This window comes from Homo sapiens, chromosome 3 (assembly GCF_000001405.40).
Source record: "Homo sapiens chromosome 3, GRCh38.p14 Primary Assembly".
Lineage (NCBI taxonomy): Eukaryota > Metazoa > Chordata > Mammalia > Primates > Hominidae > Homo > Homo sapiens.
In genome coordinates this window covers 60054867-60075246 of record NC_000003.12, presented here as the reverse complement: position 1 = coordinate 60075246, position 20380 = coordinate 60054867, and the positions used below count along the sequence as shown (strand labels likewise).

Here is a 20380-nt window from a genome sequence, read left to right as displayed (position 1 = left end):
AAATTGAGTGATTGATTATTCCATTGGTTCTCCTGACAGGCAGTCTGCTATTTTAAAGATGACCCAGCAGCTCTAGTTTAAAATGTGCCTTTATTTCCTGTGTGTGACGCATATATGTTGAGCAGTTTCTGGTCATAGGAACTTTGGTTCCAAATCTTATTAAGGTTTTTGTCATTCCAGAGGGTGACATTTTAGGGGGGCAGAAACTGGCTAGCATGTTAGCCTAATCCTTGAATCCAGGCAAAATAAATTTTGGTTGAGTTTGCTGTAACATTCACCCATTCGTTTTCATTGCTTCATGTCTTGGATCCAGTGAAAGGGAGACGTGTCAAATGTTCTGAGAGGCTGTAGATTCACTTGGTAATTAAACCAACTAGTGCAAATGTACACCAGTGAAAACAGTAAAGTTTCCCAGGGTAAGTCTTCTGGGAAAGTGAGAAAAGCCAGGCAGAAAAAGGGTAATTGAATATCAGAAATAAAGAGCTGAGGAAAGTGTTGGGGGAGTAAACACCAAGAGAAGAAACTATTGTAATTTCTGCCAACAAGAACATCATGCTTTTAAAGTGCATGTTGTTTTTTTTTCCCCTTTGGAACAGTTAGCAGGAGTAGCAAAAACAGTAACAACGTGACCTCAGTGATAATGTGTCTCTAGTCCATGAAGCTGAGCCAGGTGTTGTATTAAATACCTTTGAGACAGAAACTCATTTCTAAAATCCACACATTTGCTGAATGAATGAATGAATGAATGAATAAGCAAATTTTAATTTGTGTCTGTCTAGGGATAAGAACTTTTGATGCTTTGCTCTTCAAAGGAGTTTAAAACATAATAAGGGAGAGAATACAGGACATGAAGTTAGAGAAGTGGCATGGGAGAGGTAATACCATAGAAGTAGAGGAACAAGAGAAAATTTCCATCCAACAAAGGTTGGAGAAAACTTCCAACCTTTGTTCCAGTGAACAAAGGTTTAACATTTGTATGGGTGCATCAGTTAACTGTTTCATAAAACTCATGTGTACCAAACTGTCCCCAGTACTTGGTGGATTGAAATAAGAGTCATTTACTCTGATTCTTGTGTCTGTGGGCCAGCTTGGCTTGTTTTGACTATAGGGTGTGAGTTAAGTCCATGTGTCTGTCACCCTCCAAGACCCAGCAAAAAACTAAGACATCTGCTTCTCATAGTGAAAGACAGGAATGCACATGACATTTTAAGCCCCTGCTCCATTCACATGTCTTAAGCCAAATCAAGTCTGATATCAAAGGAATGTGACAGTATACTCCTCTCAGGAATAAGAAGTAAAGAGAGAGTGAATATTTACTGAACAACAATCTAATTTACTTCAGTGGGAAATACAGGGTTATTTCGTATATCTGGTGAACTTGTTAGGAAGTAGCAGTGTTTATATTGTAAAATCAAGCTGGAGGTTGCAGGACAGAGGCTAGAATTCCAGCTGAGAATAATATTACAAAGGGCAGGAGTGGAGTGATTTTTTCCAGTGAGTCAAGGGCCACAGGTTGGTCAAGGGAAATGGGCACTGAAAATACCTTTCCAGAAACACTTACTTAGTAGGGTGACTTCGGTAGATCATGAGAAAATAGATTTGGTAGAAGATTAAAAGCAGGAAGCTGATTGTTTGGGGCTGAAAACGATGAGGGGTTAGAGAAGCAAGGTAATTAATATCAGCGTCTCTTTTGAAGACATAAAGGGCAGAAGAGAAATAGGGTTTTGAAATGAGAGAGAGCAAACGTGAGACGAACATAAGCATGTACTATGAGAGCCTATATTCATTAAAGAAAGATTCTGGGGCTGTTTGTTGTCCCAGGATAATGAGTAATAGGTGATAGATACAGAGCTGTCATCCTTTTCTCTCTTTTAATATAAGATATTTTGTAAGATGATAAGGCAAGGTGAGTGAGTAAGGCAATCCCCTTTCCCAATAGTTTTGTTATATACAGACTTAAAATGTGACATATTAAAGGGGTCAGGAAACTCTTGAATCTTGAGTCAACCATCTCTACTACTTAATATGCTCAAGGGACCTTATTTTTAAACATCATATGGGGGCACAATATTTACCTGTATGGTTAGCAAGCAACTTGCTAACACAATCAGTCACTTGAATTGTTAATTAATGTTTAATTTTCTAATTACTCACACCTGCAGAAATTTCCCCCAATAGGAAAGAAGACCTAGTTTCAAACTTGGATGATAGGAGTTGGGGTTTTCTTCCATGAATATGTAAGCAGTCACAACTTCTGTGTATTCCCTGGCATTTAGTAACACAGTGCAGTCATCTGTTGACCATGAGCCTATAACAGGATAAGTTGGGTGTGGGGTCCAGAGAAGGAGATGGTTGAATCTCTCCCTTCAAACAGTGAATGCTGTAGCTGGGAAAAGAAGGCATACATAGACAAAATAATGAATAATTAAGAAAGTATCATATCCTGATACCATGAAGCGCTAGCTTCATAGATACTGTCAATAGAGAATAGTACAGAAGATGTAGAGTGGTATATGCTGCAAGGGTTAAGAGCACAGGCTTGGGATCCACACTGCCTATGTTTAAATCTTTGATCGTCCACTTACCAGCTCAGTGATGCTGGGCAAGTCCTTGACTTTTTTAGGTTTCAGTCTCCATCTATAGAATGGGAACAATAACGGTGGCTACCTTGAAGACTTAATTGGAAAGACTAAGTTAATATATGGAATGTGTAAAACAGTGCCCAGCACATAAGTAAGCATGCACAGGCTCTTAAATATTCTAATTTTTATTGTTGTTGGTGATGTTTTGTTGTTGTTGACGATGTTTTGTTGTTGTTGACTTGGTTGGTTTCTTTATTTTGTTGTTGATATGGTATGGGCCACAAGGTTTAGAGAAGGTGTTGACAGCCATCGAACTGGACACCTTGCGTGATGTTCTTAACATTAGCACCAAATCATCTAGAAGGAGTCTTTCCTAGCCATTCTAAATATAAAGGGCTGTCTTCTCAAATGACAAGCTAGGGTTAATGTATCCGAAGCCACTTTGATTTATTCCTCTTAAAGCAAGAGTGTTTGTCTCTCTTCAAGCAACTGCCTGTTGTCATCAGGCTAAGGCTTGGTAACACTCTTGGTTTCTCCTCCTCTACCTTTGTCTTTCCTTCCTACCTCATGTCCTTCAAGTCTTTATTACCTGTATTAGTCTGTTCTCACTCTGTTAGTAAAGACAAACCTGAGACTTGGTAAATCATAAAGGGAAGAGGTTTAACGGACTCACAGTTCCACGTGGCTGAGGAAGCCTCATAATCATGGTGGAAGGCAAAAGAGAAGCAAAGGAACGTCTTACATGGTGGCAGGCAAGAGGGCTTGTGTAGAGGGGAACTCCGCTTTATAAAACCATCAGATCTCATTAGACTTATTCACTATCATGAGAACAGCATGGGAAAGAACTGCCCCCATGGGTCAATTACCTCTCACCGGGTCCATCTCATAACATACGGGAATTATGGGAGCTACAATTCAAGATGAGATTTGGGTGGGGACATTTTATTATCACTGGAAAGTCAGCTTCGGGGAGCCCCAGCCTTAAGTCTGGGCAGACAATTCTGTCCCCCTTTTGAGCATTTTGGCTAACTTTGCTGCAGGTCATAAACAGATAGACATTCAACAAGTCTTATTCCAGAGATGCTATACAAGCTGCATTTAGAAGGGTGAACAGCAGTCAGGCATGCCAGACATGGAAAGAGAGTCATTCATGTGAAGACAAAAAAACACACAGCCTCAGAAGTGGGGGAAATGCTTGTTATAGTACAGAAATCAAGAGGCCAATACAGACACGGTTGCAGTGCCCGGTAGAAATATGATGCAAGCCACTTGTGTAATTTTAGTTTTTCCGGTAGTCACCATAAAAAGTAAAAGAAATTAATAATATGTTGTTAAAACTCGATATATCTAAAATAGTATGATTTCAACATATAAGCTGTGTAGAAAATTATGAATAGGATTCTTTCACCTTCTGTTTCCCTTGTACTAAGTGTTTGAAATCTGGGTTGTATTTTACACTTCTGGTACATCTCAGTTTGGGCTAGCCACAATTCAGGTGCTCAGGAGCCGCATGTGGCTGGTGGCTCTACTCTATTGATACAGCAGGACTAGGGCATGGCAAGCAAGGAAGACAGTGCTAGATGAGGGTGGAAATATAGAGGGAGGATCCTATAAGAAGGGGCTTTGCTGACTACGGTAAAGTTTATGTGACCTTTGACAGAGATTTCTCTTCTAAAGAGAGTGAAAAACAGTTTGTTAACCATAAACTAGTCTTCATGTCATCAGGTAGATGGACCTGTAGGAATTGCTGCCTGTTCCCTGCCTAGGCGCCAGCACTCAAGTGGATTTTAGCCGAATCCCTTAAAGGTAAGACAAATGCCATCCAACTATTTTGAAGAAAGATATTAAGGAATTTACCTAAAAGGCGTACAGAATAAAACTGGGGAGGAAAACCCAGGCAACCTCATTGTAATAACCTTCTGTCTCATGGACTATATCCTTATATTGAACAGAGGCACCCTGCCTCGCAGTCTGCAATGGGCCCACTCTGTTTGCCTGTGACCTCTAAACATAGCTGAGCAGTTGGAACCCACTGGTGGCATCCCGGAAGCACCTAAAGAATGTGACAAAAGCTCCCAAATCTTTGTTTGTCTTCCCTAATCTACCCAGCAGGGGACAGAGGGACAGGTGTGGATTGGGTTCCTGTAGTTGCTTCAGGTATCAGATAACTCAAAAAGTCTTATTAATGAAAGCTGTATCATCGTCATGATGCATGATTGGTTCATTTTGTCATTCACCAGAAGTCTGGCATGCTGAGGTGCTCAGTAAATATTTTTTGAAAGAACCAGTAGATAAAGGAGCAGCTCCTTATTGGGCACCAGCAATATATCAGGCACTGTCAGAAGCCGTGGCTTCAATGATGGTGATGTAGAGACAGACATGGTCCACACCTCCATCATCATATCTTGGGATTAACTGCTTCAGAACACCTGGAGAGCTTCTGTAAATATGACTGTCAGATACTCACCTACCTGGTGAGTCAGTTCTTGAGGGTGAGTTTGGACCCAGGGCACTCCAGGTGATCCTGAGCCCTGTGACTTGGATGTGGCCACCAAGTTGGTCATTGCAAAGCAGCATGGTCCACACCTTGTGAGGGAATGGAGGCAATAGGGAGCAATAAAAGCATGTAGGGGGGATCCCTATACCAGCCTGGAATGCCACCTGGAAGAGGTGACTTCTAAGTTGCAAACTGAAGGACCAGCAAAACTTGAGCGAGTAAAGAGCGAGGAGAAAAGTGTGCTAGACAGAAGAAAGTTTTTATATGGTAAATTTATATTATTTTGCTCCTGCATCTTAGTCACCCATCTCTTAGGACACCGTAGATGTGTGAAAGTGCTTGGAAAGGTGTAAACCCCTCTAAGGATGGAAAGTATGACTGTTTTATGGATTCTGTTTGAGGGAACTTCAGTTGATTGATGGCTGAGAAGGATGAATATTTGATAGGCAGGGAATGCTCTTTATGGCACAGAATGTCTTTCCAAGAAGAAACTTTACTAGAGTCACAGCAAACCTCTCAGCCACAGTGCCCAAAATGTCATAGTTAGTTGAATTATTTACTATGAAAATGATGGTTAACTGAAAATCTCTTTAAAATATATGAGTCTCTTTTACTGTCTTGGACAAAAGCGCTATACAAGCAGGGGCCTTACCTGTCTCTTTGCTGGACCTGCAGCCCCTGGAGCAGTGTTTTATGTAATGTATGTGCTCAATGAATATATGTTGTCAGAATGTGTAATTGACATAGGTTACATTAGAAATTTTAACTTTAAACCATTTGTTTTGTCATGAATTGTAACAGGTTGGGATTAAACTATACATAACCTGTAATTTACTGTCATTTTGAACTATTTGGATATTTTTTATAATACACTTAATACACAAACACTTTTCATTATTTAAAAAAAAGTAGTTCAAATTACAATATATAAAATATGAAATTTCTCTACTTCCTCGTTCATCTTCATAGGTTATTACTGTCAGATGACTGGTGTGTATCTTTCCAAGCACTGTTTCATGACTTAATATCCCTTTATGTACATTATCTAGATTTGATTATAAACAGGATCATATTATATTTTTCTATGATTACCTTTTTGTCTTTCAGAGTATGTTTTGGAGCTTTGTCCTTAGGATAGCAATTACAAGTTTACTCATTCTTTTTATTGACTTAATAGCATTTCATGTATGGAAGTACCATAATTTATATAACCACTTCTGTATTTTAGTAATAGAGAAACAGTCTTACAATAAACATCCTTGTACATATGTTTTATGTATTTTATGCATATTAATGTAATCATTTAGCATAGATTCTTAGGACCGTCTAATTTTTTTTAAAACAAGAATAGCATTTCTATTCAATCATTGCCTTGTTTCTTCTTTGCCTGTTTTACTTAAAAATCAGGTAGAGGAAAAAATTATGTTTCATTGAGCATTTTTACTTGGCAGCTTTTTATTTGAGACTTTAATTGTGAAATTTAGATGTGTATGAAATCAAGTATTTCCTCTACCAAAATGAACAGTTTTTACTTGTGATTTTGGACATTTAGTAGTTTGTGGCCCTTGTACTAGGGAGCACTATGGGCCTAGGATACCCCTTGGGTGGGGTTTCTACCACTTCCCTGCCATTTGTATCATGGTCCTAGTAATGGAACACACTGAACTTGCACAGTGCACAACCCACACAGCCGTATGGAGCCAACATGATGTCTGGAGTTTTGCACTGTTGCTATTTTTACTCTTTTCTTGTTCTCAAGATCTCCAGCTTAACCCTGGGAACTTAAGATGCAGAGTCAAGACCACTTAAACTGTGCTGTTAAGAAAAATCACAGTTTTATGCCCCTTTGGGAAAGCAAACATTTTCAGCTTGGAAATAGACATTGGGACCTGCCAAAAAAATGCTTTTTGTTTTGTTTTGTTTTGTTTTTTTTGAGGCAGAGTCTCGCTCTGTTGCCCAGGCTGGAGTGCAGTGGTGCGATCTCAGCTCACTGCAACCTCTGCCTCCTGGTTCAAAGAATTCTCCTGCCTCAGCCTCCAGAGTAGCTGGGGTTACAGGTGTGTGCCATCACACTTGGCTAATTTTTGTTTTTTTAGTAGAGACGGGGTTTCACCACGTTGACCAGGCTGGTCTCAAACTCCTGGCCTCATATGATCCACCCACCTTGGCCTCCCAAAGTGCTGGGATTACAGGTGTGAGCCACCATGCTGGGCCCCTGAGTGATTTGTTGAATGAACAAATGAATGGATAAGTGTGAAACCATTGAAACTACACTTGAGGCTCCTCAAACCATTTTAGTTATTGCCCTTCAAACTGTTAGTCTGAACCCACCATCACTGTTAGGCAGCGACAAGAACGTGCTGGTTTAATTGGGACATTCATCTAGTTAACAAGCTCTCACTGGGTATTTAATGATGGAATGGGGCTGTCGCGTGGAAATTCCCAGTATACCACAACACTTGAGCCTTCATGTCGACTAAAAAGAAAAAGTGATGAGTTGCTGTAGAAGTGACTTTCGCAAGATACAAGGTCTTCCCAGATCAATATCCACCAAACAACAATGGCAATTGATAAGTTAAGCTGTGATGAGCCAGATAGTACCTGTGGGCTCTCTTGACAAATATGACTAGCAAGCCCTTTGCATTGTACATCATGTAAGGAGGAAATCAAAGATGAAATAGAGGGTTCTTTACTTTTCCCAGTTAAATGAGAGATTGTAGTTTTGACTGCCCATTTGTTTTAGAGTATCTTTCTTTAGGGGAAAGGATATATATTCATTCATAGTCTGTTTTTCTGCTGTGTATGTGTGCTTATTCATTCATTCATTCATTCATTCATTCATTCAATACATATTTGTGAAGAGATTGTTGTATGGCTGGCATAGTGCTAGGTCTTCAGATAGACTTCCATATCTATTTAGCAAATGTATCTATAAGTGCCATTTTTTAGATATTTCCCCTAATATAAATATATTTGCTATCTACTTTAGCACTGAATTCCCTGAGCAAAGGAATAGAGACTCATGTTCATGAATAGGTTTATTTTGGAGTTGGGAGCTTTTAGTCCCTGGGTATCTTCTTATGCTGTGCATTTGGGGGACAGGTGCATCTATTTTCTAGTACTTCATGAGAATTTTTGATTTGCCTACCTCTGTGATAGGCACTGAGAGTGACTAGCAAAACATGAAGCGCTGTGTCAGTATTCACAGGTTTAAAAATTTTGTCTGTCAGGCGCAGTGGCTCACGCCTGTAATCCCAGCACTTTGGGAGGCCGAGGTGGGCGGATCACAAGGTCAGGAGATCGAGACCACGGTGAAACCCCGTCTCTACTAAAAATATAAAAAATTAGCCGGGCATGGTGGTGGGTGCCTGTTGTTCCAGCTACTCGGGAGGCTGAGGCAGGAGAATGGCGTGAACCCGCGAGGCGGAGCTTGCAGTGAGCCGAGATCGTGCCTCTGCACTCCAGCCTGGGTGACAGAGCAAGACTCCATCTCAAAAAAAAAAAAAAAAAAAAAAAAAAAAAAAAAAAAAAAAAAAATTTGTCAGGGATTAAAATCAACCTATAACAAATAGTCAGTGAACAGTACAAGGTGGCCCATGATTACGTGACCAGAAGTTATGTTGGCGTTTTGAGAGGGCGGGAGGTCATTAGGGCCAGAACAGTCTAACTCTCCATCTTGTTATCCACATATTTCTAAACACATGCTGTGGACATGAGAATATAATGCATGCATGGAGATATTGACAAAGTGCTCTAATTAGCAGAACATTAATAAGTAAAAATCAACTCACTTTCAATAAAACCTAATTTCACTAAAAATCACTGGACCAGCCTGGGAATGGGAAGCTCTTAGATATCGTTGGGAAATTCATTCGGAGTATCAAGATAAAAATGAGAACAAGGTGAGAAATGAACTTCAAAACTAAGCCTGAGTTTGACTTACATTTTAATTTTTTTTTAAATAAAAGAGCTCTCACAACCTGGGGATTTCCCTCCAACAGCTGGTGAGTACCCTGTACTATCCCCACCATCCCATCCTAGACTGTGTCAATGTCCATGGAAAAAGGACTTCTATCATTTTCTGGGAATGAGTTCAGCTGCATGTAACAGAAACCCTGCCTTTAACAGTTGCTTAAAAAAATAGGGGTGTATTTTCTTTGGTAACAAGAAGACCTCCTGGAGGTAGGCAGTGTCTTAGTGATTGTTTTAATCTGCCTATTTGCAAGATGGCCACCCTATTTCCTGGAACCATGATCAAATTCACGGTAGGAAGAAAGGGAGAGAGGTGGCAGCAGCAGTGTTGCTACTGGAAAATCATATGCTTCCCCCGAGTATTCCCCAGCAGATTTTCACTGGCTTCAAGATGGTCTGAGAGAATGAGTAGTTGGCCATGGGATGGGAACAGGCAGGAGAAAAAGGTGTTAGGAATGAGCAATGGGCAAACTGAGCAGAGTTTCCTGCTACAGGAAGCTCTGTAGATGTGTAATTCAGTGCAAAATAAAAACTCAATAGACTGACTTGAGAAGCATCTTGCCTCTAACTGATTAGGTCTCACTTTCTTGCTGTGTAAAACAAAGGGCTTGCCTAGGGGTAGTCTATATTTTCAGAAGTTTTCCTGTTATAGCATTCCAGAATTTCTCAGGTACTTTTATAATGATTAAGAGCTTTATGATCTCAAACACAGCATAATTACAGAGAGTTACTGGGTCCTAGGTACTTAATGTGCATGATCTTATTCAACCCTCACCATGCCTCTGTGAAGCAGGCACTATTATGCCATCCATTTTACAGATGAAAGAAGTAAGTGCAGGTTAAGCCTCTCGGTGACATGGTTAAGGTGACAGTTAGATCATGGCCAGGTCAGGATTCATCCCAGGAGCATGGCTGATCCCAAAGACATTTCTTTAAGTACTAAGCATTCTAGCTCATAAGGTTCCTCCACATTCTAATGCTTTCTGTCTTCTTCAACCTGGCTGTATGTGTAATACGCATATTTTCATGATTCTCATTTTTCCAAACTTCCTAGTTTTGGTCTGGAAGGTCTTCTCTTTTTGTGAGTTGATTGCTCTTTGCCCAATTTATGTCCTAAAGAACAGTCTCAGGGCAAGGCATGAGACTTGAATCAGGAATGAATACAGTGAGTCATAGTGCCTTTGAGGCCAGCTGTGTTTATGTTTGAATGCCACCTCCCACTTGCTAGATGTAGATGTGTGACTTTGAGTAGGGTAAGTGTTATATCTTTAAGTGTCAATTTCTTCATATGCAATGGGAAGATTATGATATTAACCAATGGCATTTTAAATGAGAAGTAAATGAGATAATACTTGCGAAGTGCCTAACACAGCATGTGTCAGTGTATTAGAGAGTTGATAACTGTGAAAATGGTTAAGGTGAAAGGGATGTAAATGAAAATACAAACAAAACTGGATTATTTGGCAGATCCTAAATACTCTTTGACCAGTATAGTCTCACATTGTTCTCCTTCATTCTCAGTGTGCTTGTGTTGTGTGTATGTGCACATGCAAACTTTGCTTTTCCTCATGTCTGCTTTGTGAGCTAGAGTCAGCTATAGCTATGACAGCTCTAGAGCTGCTCACATGGTAGGTAGGTTCTGTCTGTCCCTGTCCCTCATCATTCAGGGTGTGGATGATACAATGACTGTTTACTATGCGGTCAAAATTCTAGAAGTACTGTCTGTAGCATGGAAACAGAGTCTTCTCTGCATATTTTCAAATGCAAGATAGAGATGGCAGTGGTGGACAAGGTATGAGGGTGGTTTGGTTGGGGGTGGGGTGCATCAGTTATACTGTGTTCTTTCATTGCAGCTAAAAATTTCAAAAATACCACCCATTTCGGAGTTCAGTGAAGTAAATTCTGAGAATCCAAACATCAAATAAGAGTTATAAACAACATAGTTTTATTATTACTAGGTAATTATTTTACTTTTATGTTTCATTAATATTATTGATTTAAATCAAATTAGCCATACCTATAACTTCAGGCAGGAAGGAAAGGTATAAGAGGAAAATGAAAACTTTCCTTTCCTTCTCTTCTCTGACATGCTGGCCTCTTGTCCTCCAAATATTACCATTGTGAAGTTTCTTCTGTAGCTTTTCAGAAAAAGAAATTATGCACATGTTGACATCTAAACAAAACGACACGGAGCCTTTAAAATCTTTACTTAAATGGCATATTATATACATTCTTCACACTTAGCTTGTTTCAAAGCATAGTATATCTTGAAGAGCAGACCTACCTCATTATTCTTAATAGCTGTACATATTGTTTTGTATTGATAAATCAAAACGCGTTTAACCCAATGGATGGTATATGGGTTTTCTTCTCCATTTTTTTGTTTGTTTTTATGGGCAATACTACAAAGGACATTCTTGCACAAATTCTGGCATACTATTTGGAAGTATATCTGTAGGGCAAATTCTTAGCAATGCATTTGCTGGGTTAAAGGGTTTGTGAATTTGCCATTTTGCTAAGAGATTGCCAAATGCTGGATATGCAAGAAATGTTCTCTCTCAACAACCAGACAGAAGGAAAATCTCTTCATTCCTTTCTTTTAATTTAATTTGCTTATCTTTCAATGGCCTTCTAAAAAAATTGAATGGCATGTTTTTTAGGTAGATTTTGTTTGGCAGTCACTCTGGGCCTCTGCTTTTATTAAGGGAGGGAAGGCAGATGAGCTGTGGTAAACATGGATAAGTCAGTGTTCTGGCTTCCTCAACCAATGTGAATTTGGATGGACTATTTTTTCTAGTTAAAGAAATCTCCATATGCTATGGTGATGTATCTGGAGTATATCAGTTTCTTGAAACACAAGATGATTTTTATTTTGCTTATATTCAGTCTCATTTAGTAACTGTCAAAAAATTTACCGTATTGCCAGAAAGTTGATCTTGTAGACCAGATGTCAGTCGGGACCTTGTTGCTCAATGGAGATCTAACTATAATGTACTCAAACTACCAATTCCACAGTTCATGAGAAGTTAAAGTTCTCTCCACCTTCTCTGTGAATTTTGTCTTCCTCTGGTTTCTCTGTCCAAGTGTCTGTTTTGCCCTACTTAACAGGATGTGCAATTTGTTTGCATGTATCTGTAACAGTCTTCTCCCCAGGCATTATTTTAATTTAGTTGTGAACTGGGAGATATTGTGAAGCGGTCTCATTGTGGAACATTTCTTGCTCCTCAGTTGACTCTTCTCCTCCTCCATCCCTTTTCACTTCTTCTCTCCTACTGGAAAAGAAGGTTTGCCTTTTTCTGCAAGGCCTTTATGGCTATTAACATCTATTCCCTCCAGTCTTTAACTCTGAGATGGTTTAATGAACATGACTCTCCTGCAAATTCTATATGTTTTCCTGAAGATTCTTTCTCAAACCAAAAAAACAAAACTCCTCCATATCCATTATAATTTCATCCAAAAATTCATGTTAGGTCATCTCCCTTACAAAGAACATTTCTCAAACAGCGTTTCTGTTTGTTTTTGTTTCTGTTTTAATTAGCTGGCATTCTGGTGTAAGGATTAACAGAAGAATGCCTTCTTAGGATAAATCCAGCACTTCAGTAGAAGAAAGATCGTGATCTTTGGGTTGGGAGACCTGGGGTTAAATTCAGGCCCTACCATTTACTCATTGTGTAATACAAGCAACTTAAGTTTTGAAGCTTTATTTTCTTCACTAGAGGAGATAATTCTTAATGGATTGTTTTAAATGTTGGAAATGAAAATATTAAGCATCCAGCACAGTACTTGGAATGTAGGAGGTGCTTAGAAAATAAGAGTGTTACGACAGTTACTCTCAACCACCCTCATTGTCATTATCATTGAATCCTGAGCTGTGTGTTTTCTTCACTCCACAGCATAGAATACATTTCCACTCTCATTCATTGTTTCAGCATCTCCTCATCTCAACTCCATAGTAAGGTACCTCAGAAGAAGGCCATGTCTAATTTTGTACTTGGTTGTTGAGCACACATTAGGTACTCAATCAATGCTTATTGATTGGTATTTTATTGATTGGTGATCTTTTGGAGGTCTGAAAATTCATCTCCTTTCTACCTTTCTGGTAATAACCTAAGGAAACAGAAATTCATGATGTTAGAAAGAATTTCATTTCTTCCCCAGCTGCCTTATTTTGAGTCAGGTCTCTGTACTCTGACATGAGACGTATCTTCATTTTTTCCCCTTCTAGCAGTAAGTCAGTCTTTCTCATTTCTTGCTCTTTTCCATGTTGTTTTGCCAATTTCTCTTTCTTTTGCTTTCTCTCCTACATGTGAATTCTCTCCTGTTCTTCTGGCTGAAATTCATCTCTCGTGTCATAAATGCCCTTCCTTCTGTATGATTCCCTTGTCTGCTTTCCTTTCATATGATCTATTCACCTTATTTGAAAGAAAATGTCATTTGTTTCCTAGCATCCGATCTGAATAACAGTGAAATGTTTGTTTAAAATTAATGTTTTGAGCAAAGAACCCTCTCTGTTTACTTGACTTGCAATATTTTAATATTTAACACTCTATGATGTAAAACTTGTGGAAGAAAAATATCCTGCTGTGATCTGGTTGCCTAACAATTTACATTCAGCTGCAATATTTTATTTGCTATAATTACTCACTGACAAAACAGGGAATCGAAATGCAAAAATACAAAATGCTCTCAGTTTGCATTTTATTTTGGAATGTGAAAAACCCTTGGTTCTTGAGGGAAAGAGCATAAAAAAGGAAAGCTAGCTTAGTCAGATATCCATCTCTACAAACAGACTCTTCAGCAGTAAGACGCAAACCAGAGAGGAAACTGTAGGGCTTCTGGAGGGAGTTTTTTAAAGAGGTCGTATGTTGTGGACTCAAGGTTGGAGGGCAGGGCCTCGGGCCATCACATTCCATCTCTTACTCCAGAGTCTCACTGTGATTTTTACACAGGTCCTTTCGCTGTGTGGCACCTATGGATCTGCTCTCTTAAACCATTGAAATTTATTAGATGAAAGGTAGGAATCCACTGGGCTCTTGTTAGAAAACGTCCTACTCTAACACTCTTTCCCCATCCTATTATTTGCACTCTTGAAAGTGACAGGTTTCATTGGGATTGTGGGTCTGAATGGAGCATGACAGCCAACACCTAGGCATTGTGTGGACCAACCAATAGCTCCTTGCTTGATTTCCACCACTATAAACAAAGTCCTTCCTGGATTCAGAGATAGAAACTCTAATATATCTAGATCTTAGCTCCTTCACACATTTACCCCACCTTCATTTGCAGTTTGAAAAGTGAAAAGTTTTTGTTCCTGAAATTCTGAATAAGAATGCTACAGTGCATTTTTCCAAGAAGTAATTAATAAGAGAAATCAAAACAAGATTTTTCCCTCTGTGATTAAATCTAACTGGTACACTCCAGTAGAAAACAAACCAAAACCATTCCATTGATTTTGGTATCACACTGGGGGAGAAAAGTCATTATACTTTTTTAAAATCTGGAAATGCCTAAGACACCCATGTATTGAGTTCTTATAATTGCAAATCTCATTTTTCTCCTACTAAGCTGCTTTCTTCCCAAATGTGCCACAGTTTTCATGTAACTTATTCAAAGTAGGTAGTATACTTTTAGGAGAAACTGCAGAACCATTTCCCAGGAACAGTTAATATGCATTTTAATATTTCTGACACATAAAGTAGTTAATACAAAGGATTAATCATTACATAAACCATGTGATGGGAGGATTTGGAGAAAGTTCTTAGAAATAAAGAACTTTGTTATGTGATGCATATTTAAAAAGATAGTTTTCTCCAAGCAATCAATAACACAGGATTTAGTGATCCTTAGTTAGTCCCCCAGTATTGATTCTACGGTCTAAATTCATTATAATTTGGTTTTGAGATAGCTAGAAAGTTGATTCTTGAGTCAAAGATTTTCTTTCTTTACAGAGAAACTTTTTGAGTGTGTAACATGAGGATGGAATTCAGAAAACATTTGGGTTTTTTTTTTTAACACCAATTATACCTTCCATTATGTTCTTTATTTTTGTTTATGGTTTAAGAAGTTATAGAGGCTCCCCAGGGTTAATAACGTCACTTTCCTGTTGCTGTGAGTCTGGCAATATGAAGAAATTGGATGACTACCATTTTTCCCCCATGTATCTGGGTATGTTGTTTATCAAAGCAAAAGGAAAACAAAACAAAACAAAAAACAACAACTCATGGAGCACGGTTAATGCTTATAAGTTCAAATTACCCTCTATGGATGACACATGATGTGATCACCCCATGAAGACCTGTTGAAGTCAAACCATTGTCGATTTGAAGAATAGCTAGTAAAGTTTTATAAGGAAAAGGTAAACTTATTGCAAAGCTACAAGGAGTCTTGTACTAGAAGGGGAGACCCAACAAGAATGGGGGGAGCTCTAGGCAGCCCTCATTCATGAACCTCGTAGGCACAGAAAACCTCTGCTCTTTTTGTTGGGGGCAATGAATATTTGGGTTACTGGCGGCTAATCGATATGGGCCTGCAGCAACCTCAGTTCTTGCCTCCTGAGAAAGAATTCAGCTGAGGGGCATAAGGCAGGAAAAGAGACTGAGACAAGTTTTAGAGCAGGAGTGGAAGTTTATTAAAAAGCTTTAGCACAGGAAAGAAAGGAAAGTATATCTGGAAGAGACCCAAGCAGGCACTGTGAAGGTCACATGTAACGTTTGACCTTTTGACGTGGGTTTTATATGTTGTTGTACTTCTGGGCCTTGTGTCCCTTTTCCCATGGTTCTTCTCTTAAGGTGGGCCACCCACATGTGTGTGGCCTGCTAACATGTGGGAGGTGAGCATGTGAGTGTGTTTAAGAAGTTGTATGTATGCCCACCTGAGGCTTTCTTCCCTTTTCCAGTGGAATGCCCCAGAAAACCATATTCTGCCATTTTGTCTCTTAATGCGCATGCTTGTGCTCACTCGCCCAACTCCTGAAAACTGCTGATTACCAGTTACAGGTGTTTCCTATCAATATAGGAAGACGGTCTTTCCCTGGTGCTGGCTGTGACAAATTATTATTTTAAAGAGAGTTAACAACCACCTGACCATCACCTGATGGTAGCGTGGCTTTCCTGGTGGGGGTGTTGGGAGGGCCCTCTCCTGCCCCATCACGCCTGACTACCTACCTACTGTAACATTTTCTTCGTTTTAGTTGCCTTGATTTTCTTACTCACTCGGTTCCTATGTTTTTAGAAGATCAACCTGTATTTGACCATCATGGCCTCTGAATACCATGACTCTCTGCCCAAGCTTTTGCCACTTGGTCTGTGTTTCCCAATTCACATTTCCCAGAACAATTAATATTTTGTTGTATTTTATCCAACATTTCGATGTCTCATTGTGAGGGGATTTTTACAAATCGATCATGTTATTTATCTTTTTTGGCCCTGAAAACATCCTCATAATCTTTCTTAACACAGTGTTGCTAGCTGTCACTATCAGTGGATTTGAGTTGGCATGCCTGGAGTAGATCATCTTTTGTGTCACTTTACAGCTAGTGGGAGTCAATTCTAAGAAAGAGCTTTGGAATCAGGGCAGATGTGGCATCTTTCAAAGGGAAAAGCAGGGAACATTTTTGTGTGATGGCAAACTACACATAACATAAAATTTAGCATGTTAACCATTTCTAACTGTGTCATTCAGTGGTACTGAGTACATTCACAATGTTGTGCAGTCATCACACTATCCAACTCCAGAAGTTTCTGTCATCTCAAATAGAAACTCTGTACACGGTCAGCACGGTGGCTCACGCCTGTAATCCCAACAGTGTGGGAGGCTGAGGCGGGCAGATCATGAGGTCAAGAGATCCAGACCATCCTGCCCAACATGGTGAAACCCCATCTCTACTAAAAATACAAAAATTAGCTGGGCATGTAATCCCAGCTACTCAGGAGGCTGAGGCAGGAGAATTGCTTGAACCCAGGAGGCGGAGATTGCAGTGAGCCGAGATCGAGTCGAGCCACTGCACTCCAGCCTGGTGACAGAGCGAGACTCTGTCTCAAAAAAAAAAAAAAAAAAAAAAAAAAAACACAACTCTGTACTCATTATACAATAACTCCCTATTCCCCGGACTACTTTCTCCCTCCCCCAGCCCCTGGTAATCTGTGTTCTACTTTTCTGTCTCTGTAAGCTTGCCTATTCTAGGTACCTCACAGAAGTGGAATTGTTACCAAAACACTAGGGGTTCGGTCTAGGTCCTGCTGTTTGCCGTGCAGAAAACCAGTCACTGAGATGATGAGTATTGCCAAGAAGAAGGGAGTTCAGTCTCAAATCCATTTCCCTGACCAAAACCAGACTATGTAAAACCAGGGGTTTATATAGCCAGGAAGAAATGTAATAATGTATAAGAAAACAGGAACTAGGGAGAGGCAAGGAAGCAATCCTGAGAATGAGGGGTCCAGCATCTCATTGTCAAAATGTGGTGATCTGGTGAGTTTCAGTTTGCCAATACTTTTTTTTTTTTTTCGAGAGGCCTGAAGGTCATTTCCTGAGGAAGGAACTCAGTTAAAACAAATATAAACTTCAAGCATTAAGACCACAAAGGTCAATTTCTACGTCTATCCAAAAAACTATCTATGGGATTATTGGGTTGGTTTCAGAATCACAATATCATCCTTTGTGACTGGCTTATTTCACTTAGCTTATGTTTTCAAGGTTCATTCATGTTGTAACGTGTCAGAATTTCATTTTCATGGCTGAGTAATATTCCATTGTATGGACCTACCACATATTTATCCAGAGGATAGCATTTTAAACTGGGCCTCTAAGCAGAGAGGCATGGAAGTGTTTGTTGGTGGCACATCAAAGCTCTGAAGCAACAGACCAGGCAGGGTTCACATTCCAGATTTTACTAGTATTCCACATATTAGTATATGACTTTTGGGATTTCATTTAACTCCCCTAGTCTACTTCTTTGGCGTCTGTCATATGGACATAATAATACCACTCAAAGTTTTGTGGTAAGGTTTATATGAAATAATGCATAGGATGTACCTGGCTTGGCTTCTAGTAGGTGTTCACAAAGTGAATCCCACTTCCCCCTTTATCACCCATTCTCCCACCCCCAGAAGTTCCACCCAGGACAAAGAATGAAGACATGCATAATAGTGGATGTGTTCCTCTTGGAGTGTGGGAGAGGCAGAAAAAAGCATCCCAAGTTCCCAGAGCTTGGATTTGAGAACTTTCAGGCAGGGATGGCAAGATCCCCAGACCAGGAAGAGTGGCCTCTGGGACCATTACCGCTCCATCTGTTCTGTGAATAAAGGTAGCTGGCTTTGGGGATCTGATTGATGTCATGAAAGGAAGGAAAACATGTTTTTCTGTCTGCTCTGCTGAAAACACCTTATCTAGGATAAAAGTATTGGCCCCTCTTTCAAACTGCTTTTGCTGTTTCCCATGAAGAAAACCTTTTTCATTTTGATAAAAAGCAATTTCTGTTTTCCTGCCAAGCCAGCAAAAAGTCTTTTGAGAAATGCTTCTGCTTTCCTGGTATCAGGGTGTAAAATCTGCATGACATGGAGACCGGTGGTGGCATCATTTCAGCAGCTGGCAAGGGAGTTGGCTGGAAGAACAACAGAGCAAAGCACACACCCTCCCGGGTAATGCACTTGAATCAATCAAAAGCGTATACTTGGAATCTAACTGCTGATGGTTTGGGTACATCTAAACTTGTAACACAATAAGGAGTGCAGAAGAGTTTCTCTTACAAAACTTACTGCAAACAATAGAATCGGGACAGGGTGGTGCAAATAGCAAAACAAAAGGAGCATTTTATTCTTCCCCCCTCCCCAATATATTAAATGGTTACTCTCAGGCAGAAAACCTTTTAGTTCCAAATAAATCTCAAGTAATAGAACCAGAAGCAAACCAAGCTTTCTAATCTACACCAAAATTTCTGGGAGAAATCTTCTACAGAATCCATTCCCTCTGTGTGTCTCTTAAGAGCTGTAGCCAAGAGAAACTTAAAGAAATAAGGCAGAAATATTGTACACTGAACCCCTGCCCTGCCAAACCTGACTCAGGAAGCCCTATGTATGGAAACTGCATAATGCTCTTGGCATTTGCAGAGCTGTGCTCTCAGATACCTTCCAGAAGAATGACAGTGTGTGAAGGGGGCAGGTCATGACTATTTTTTAAAGGACGTAAATGAGACTTGGTTGTGCCTGAAGCACTTCCACAACTTAAAGCTGGTATTTCACGTGTCTGGACATTATCCAAAATATTCATCTTGGCCAGCTGACAGGAATGTTTACTGAGTCCTTAGGAGCCACTTGTTTGGTACCTTCGAAGCTGCCTAGAAAGAGTTTGTGTTGCGTGGGAGTGGGGAGTGAGTGTAAGCTGCAGCATCAGCTCCGAGTTAGCCTTCCCGTTCCTCTAAGTGCTAGTTGTGTGACTGTTGGCAAGTCATTTAACCTCTCTGAGCTAAAGTTTGCATCCCTATAAAATGGTGAAAAATCTGGCCCTTCAACATGTTGGTTTCCAGGATTGAATGGAATCAAAAAGCTTTCTCTAAATGCCTTGTACACTGGTTGCCACGTGGCCAGTGCCTAGAAAATGTTGGTTTCCTCTCTTCTTTCTTCATTGTTTGCAATACAGTTTTTCTTGGTGCAAGTGCTAAAGCAATTAAGCTCTGAACTGCACCATCTTTATGACACAGAAATTGGCTGAGAGCCTCAGAAATAAATCTGAGAATTGGAAAAAAAAAAAAAAAGAAAGTCCATCACCATACATTTGTCAGTTGGCATCTCCTTGCTTTTTCTAGTTAGAGTCTTTCATAGTAGAGTGCTTATTTCTTTTTCTCATCCATGTATGTAGGACAGTGTTTGACAGGCATTTTTATGTGTGTGGTAGTATGGGGAAAGTGACAAAAAGAGGCCCACTCTAGATGTCACTTCCCTGTACTGCAAGCTGGAGTTGACAATGAAATCCCTCCTGAAGAACCCCAGTGGTGTTTTGGAGCATCTCAGCATCAAGAGGAGGGAGAGGCACTGAGCAGTCAAGGGTACCCTTCTTGCCATGTGAGAAAAGTATATGAGGTGTAGCAAAAAGATAGGAGGCCACGCTTTGGAATGGGGGTAGTTTATTTCTTTTTAGTTCTGTGAAAAATCATATAATGACAGGGTATTTTTTTTCCTGTGTTGGGCAACTGTCCTCTCTAGACAAACACGCAACCCACACACAGATCAGTGGGAGTTTGGAGTATACAGCAAAGGTAGCCATTCCCACTTCATTAATTTCTTAATGTAAAATGTAAACAAAAATAAAACACAAATTTCTCACCAGTGATAGTGAT

General features: G+C 39.8%; 1 protein-coding gene across 8 annotated transcripts in view, besides 1 other annotated feature; it reads left to right on the top strand.

Moving 5' to 3' along the window:
* The window catches only part of FHIT (fragile histidine triad diadenosine triphosphatase), a 1504176-nt gene that overhangs the window by 1176206 nt on the left and 307590 nt on the right, over positions 1-20380 (top strand). The window contains exon 2 of one of the 8 annotated variants that reach the window (NM_001320901.2): positions 4308-4388. The exons of the other annotated variants lie outside the window; for them this stretch is intronic. The gene's annotated coding sequence lies outside the window, so the exon portion shown is untranslated. The remainder of the gene's footprint in view (positions 1-4307; positions 4389-20380) is intronic. 8 annotated transcript variants of the gene reach the window in all.
* Positions 20026-20229: a silencer, noted in NCBI's record as "fragment chr3:60040744-60040947 (GRCh37/hg19 assembly coordinates)". NCBI's record gives its function as "represses an EF-1alpha promoter that drives an FKBP-Casp9 reporter gene in an ReSE screen in HepG2 liver carcinoma cells {active_cell/tissue: HepG2}" and the evidence as "EXISTENCE:reporter gene assay evidence [ECO:0000049][PMID:32094911]".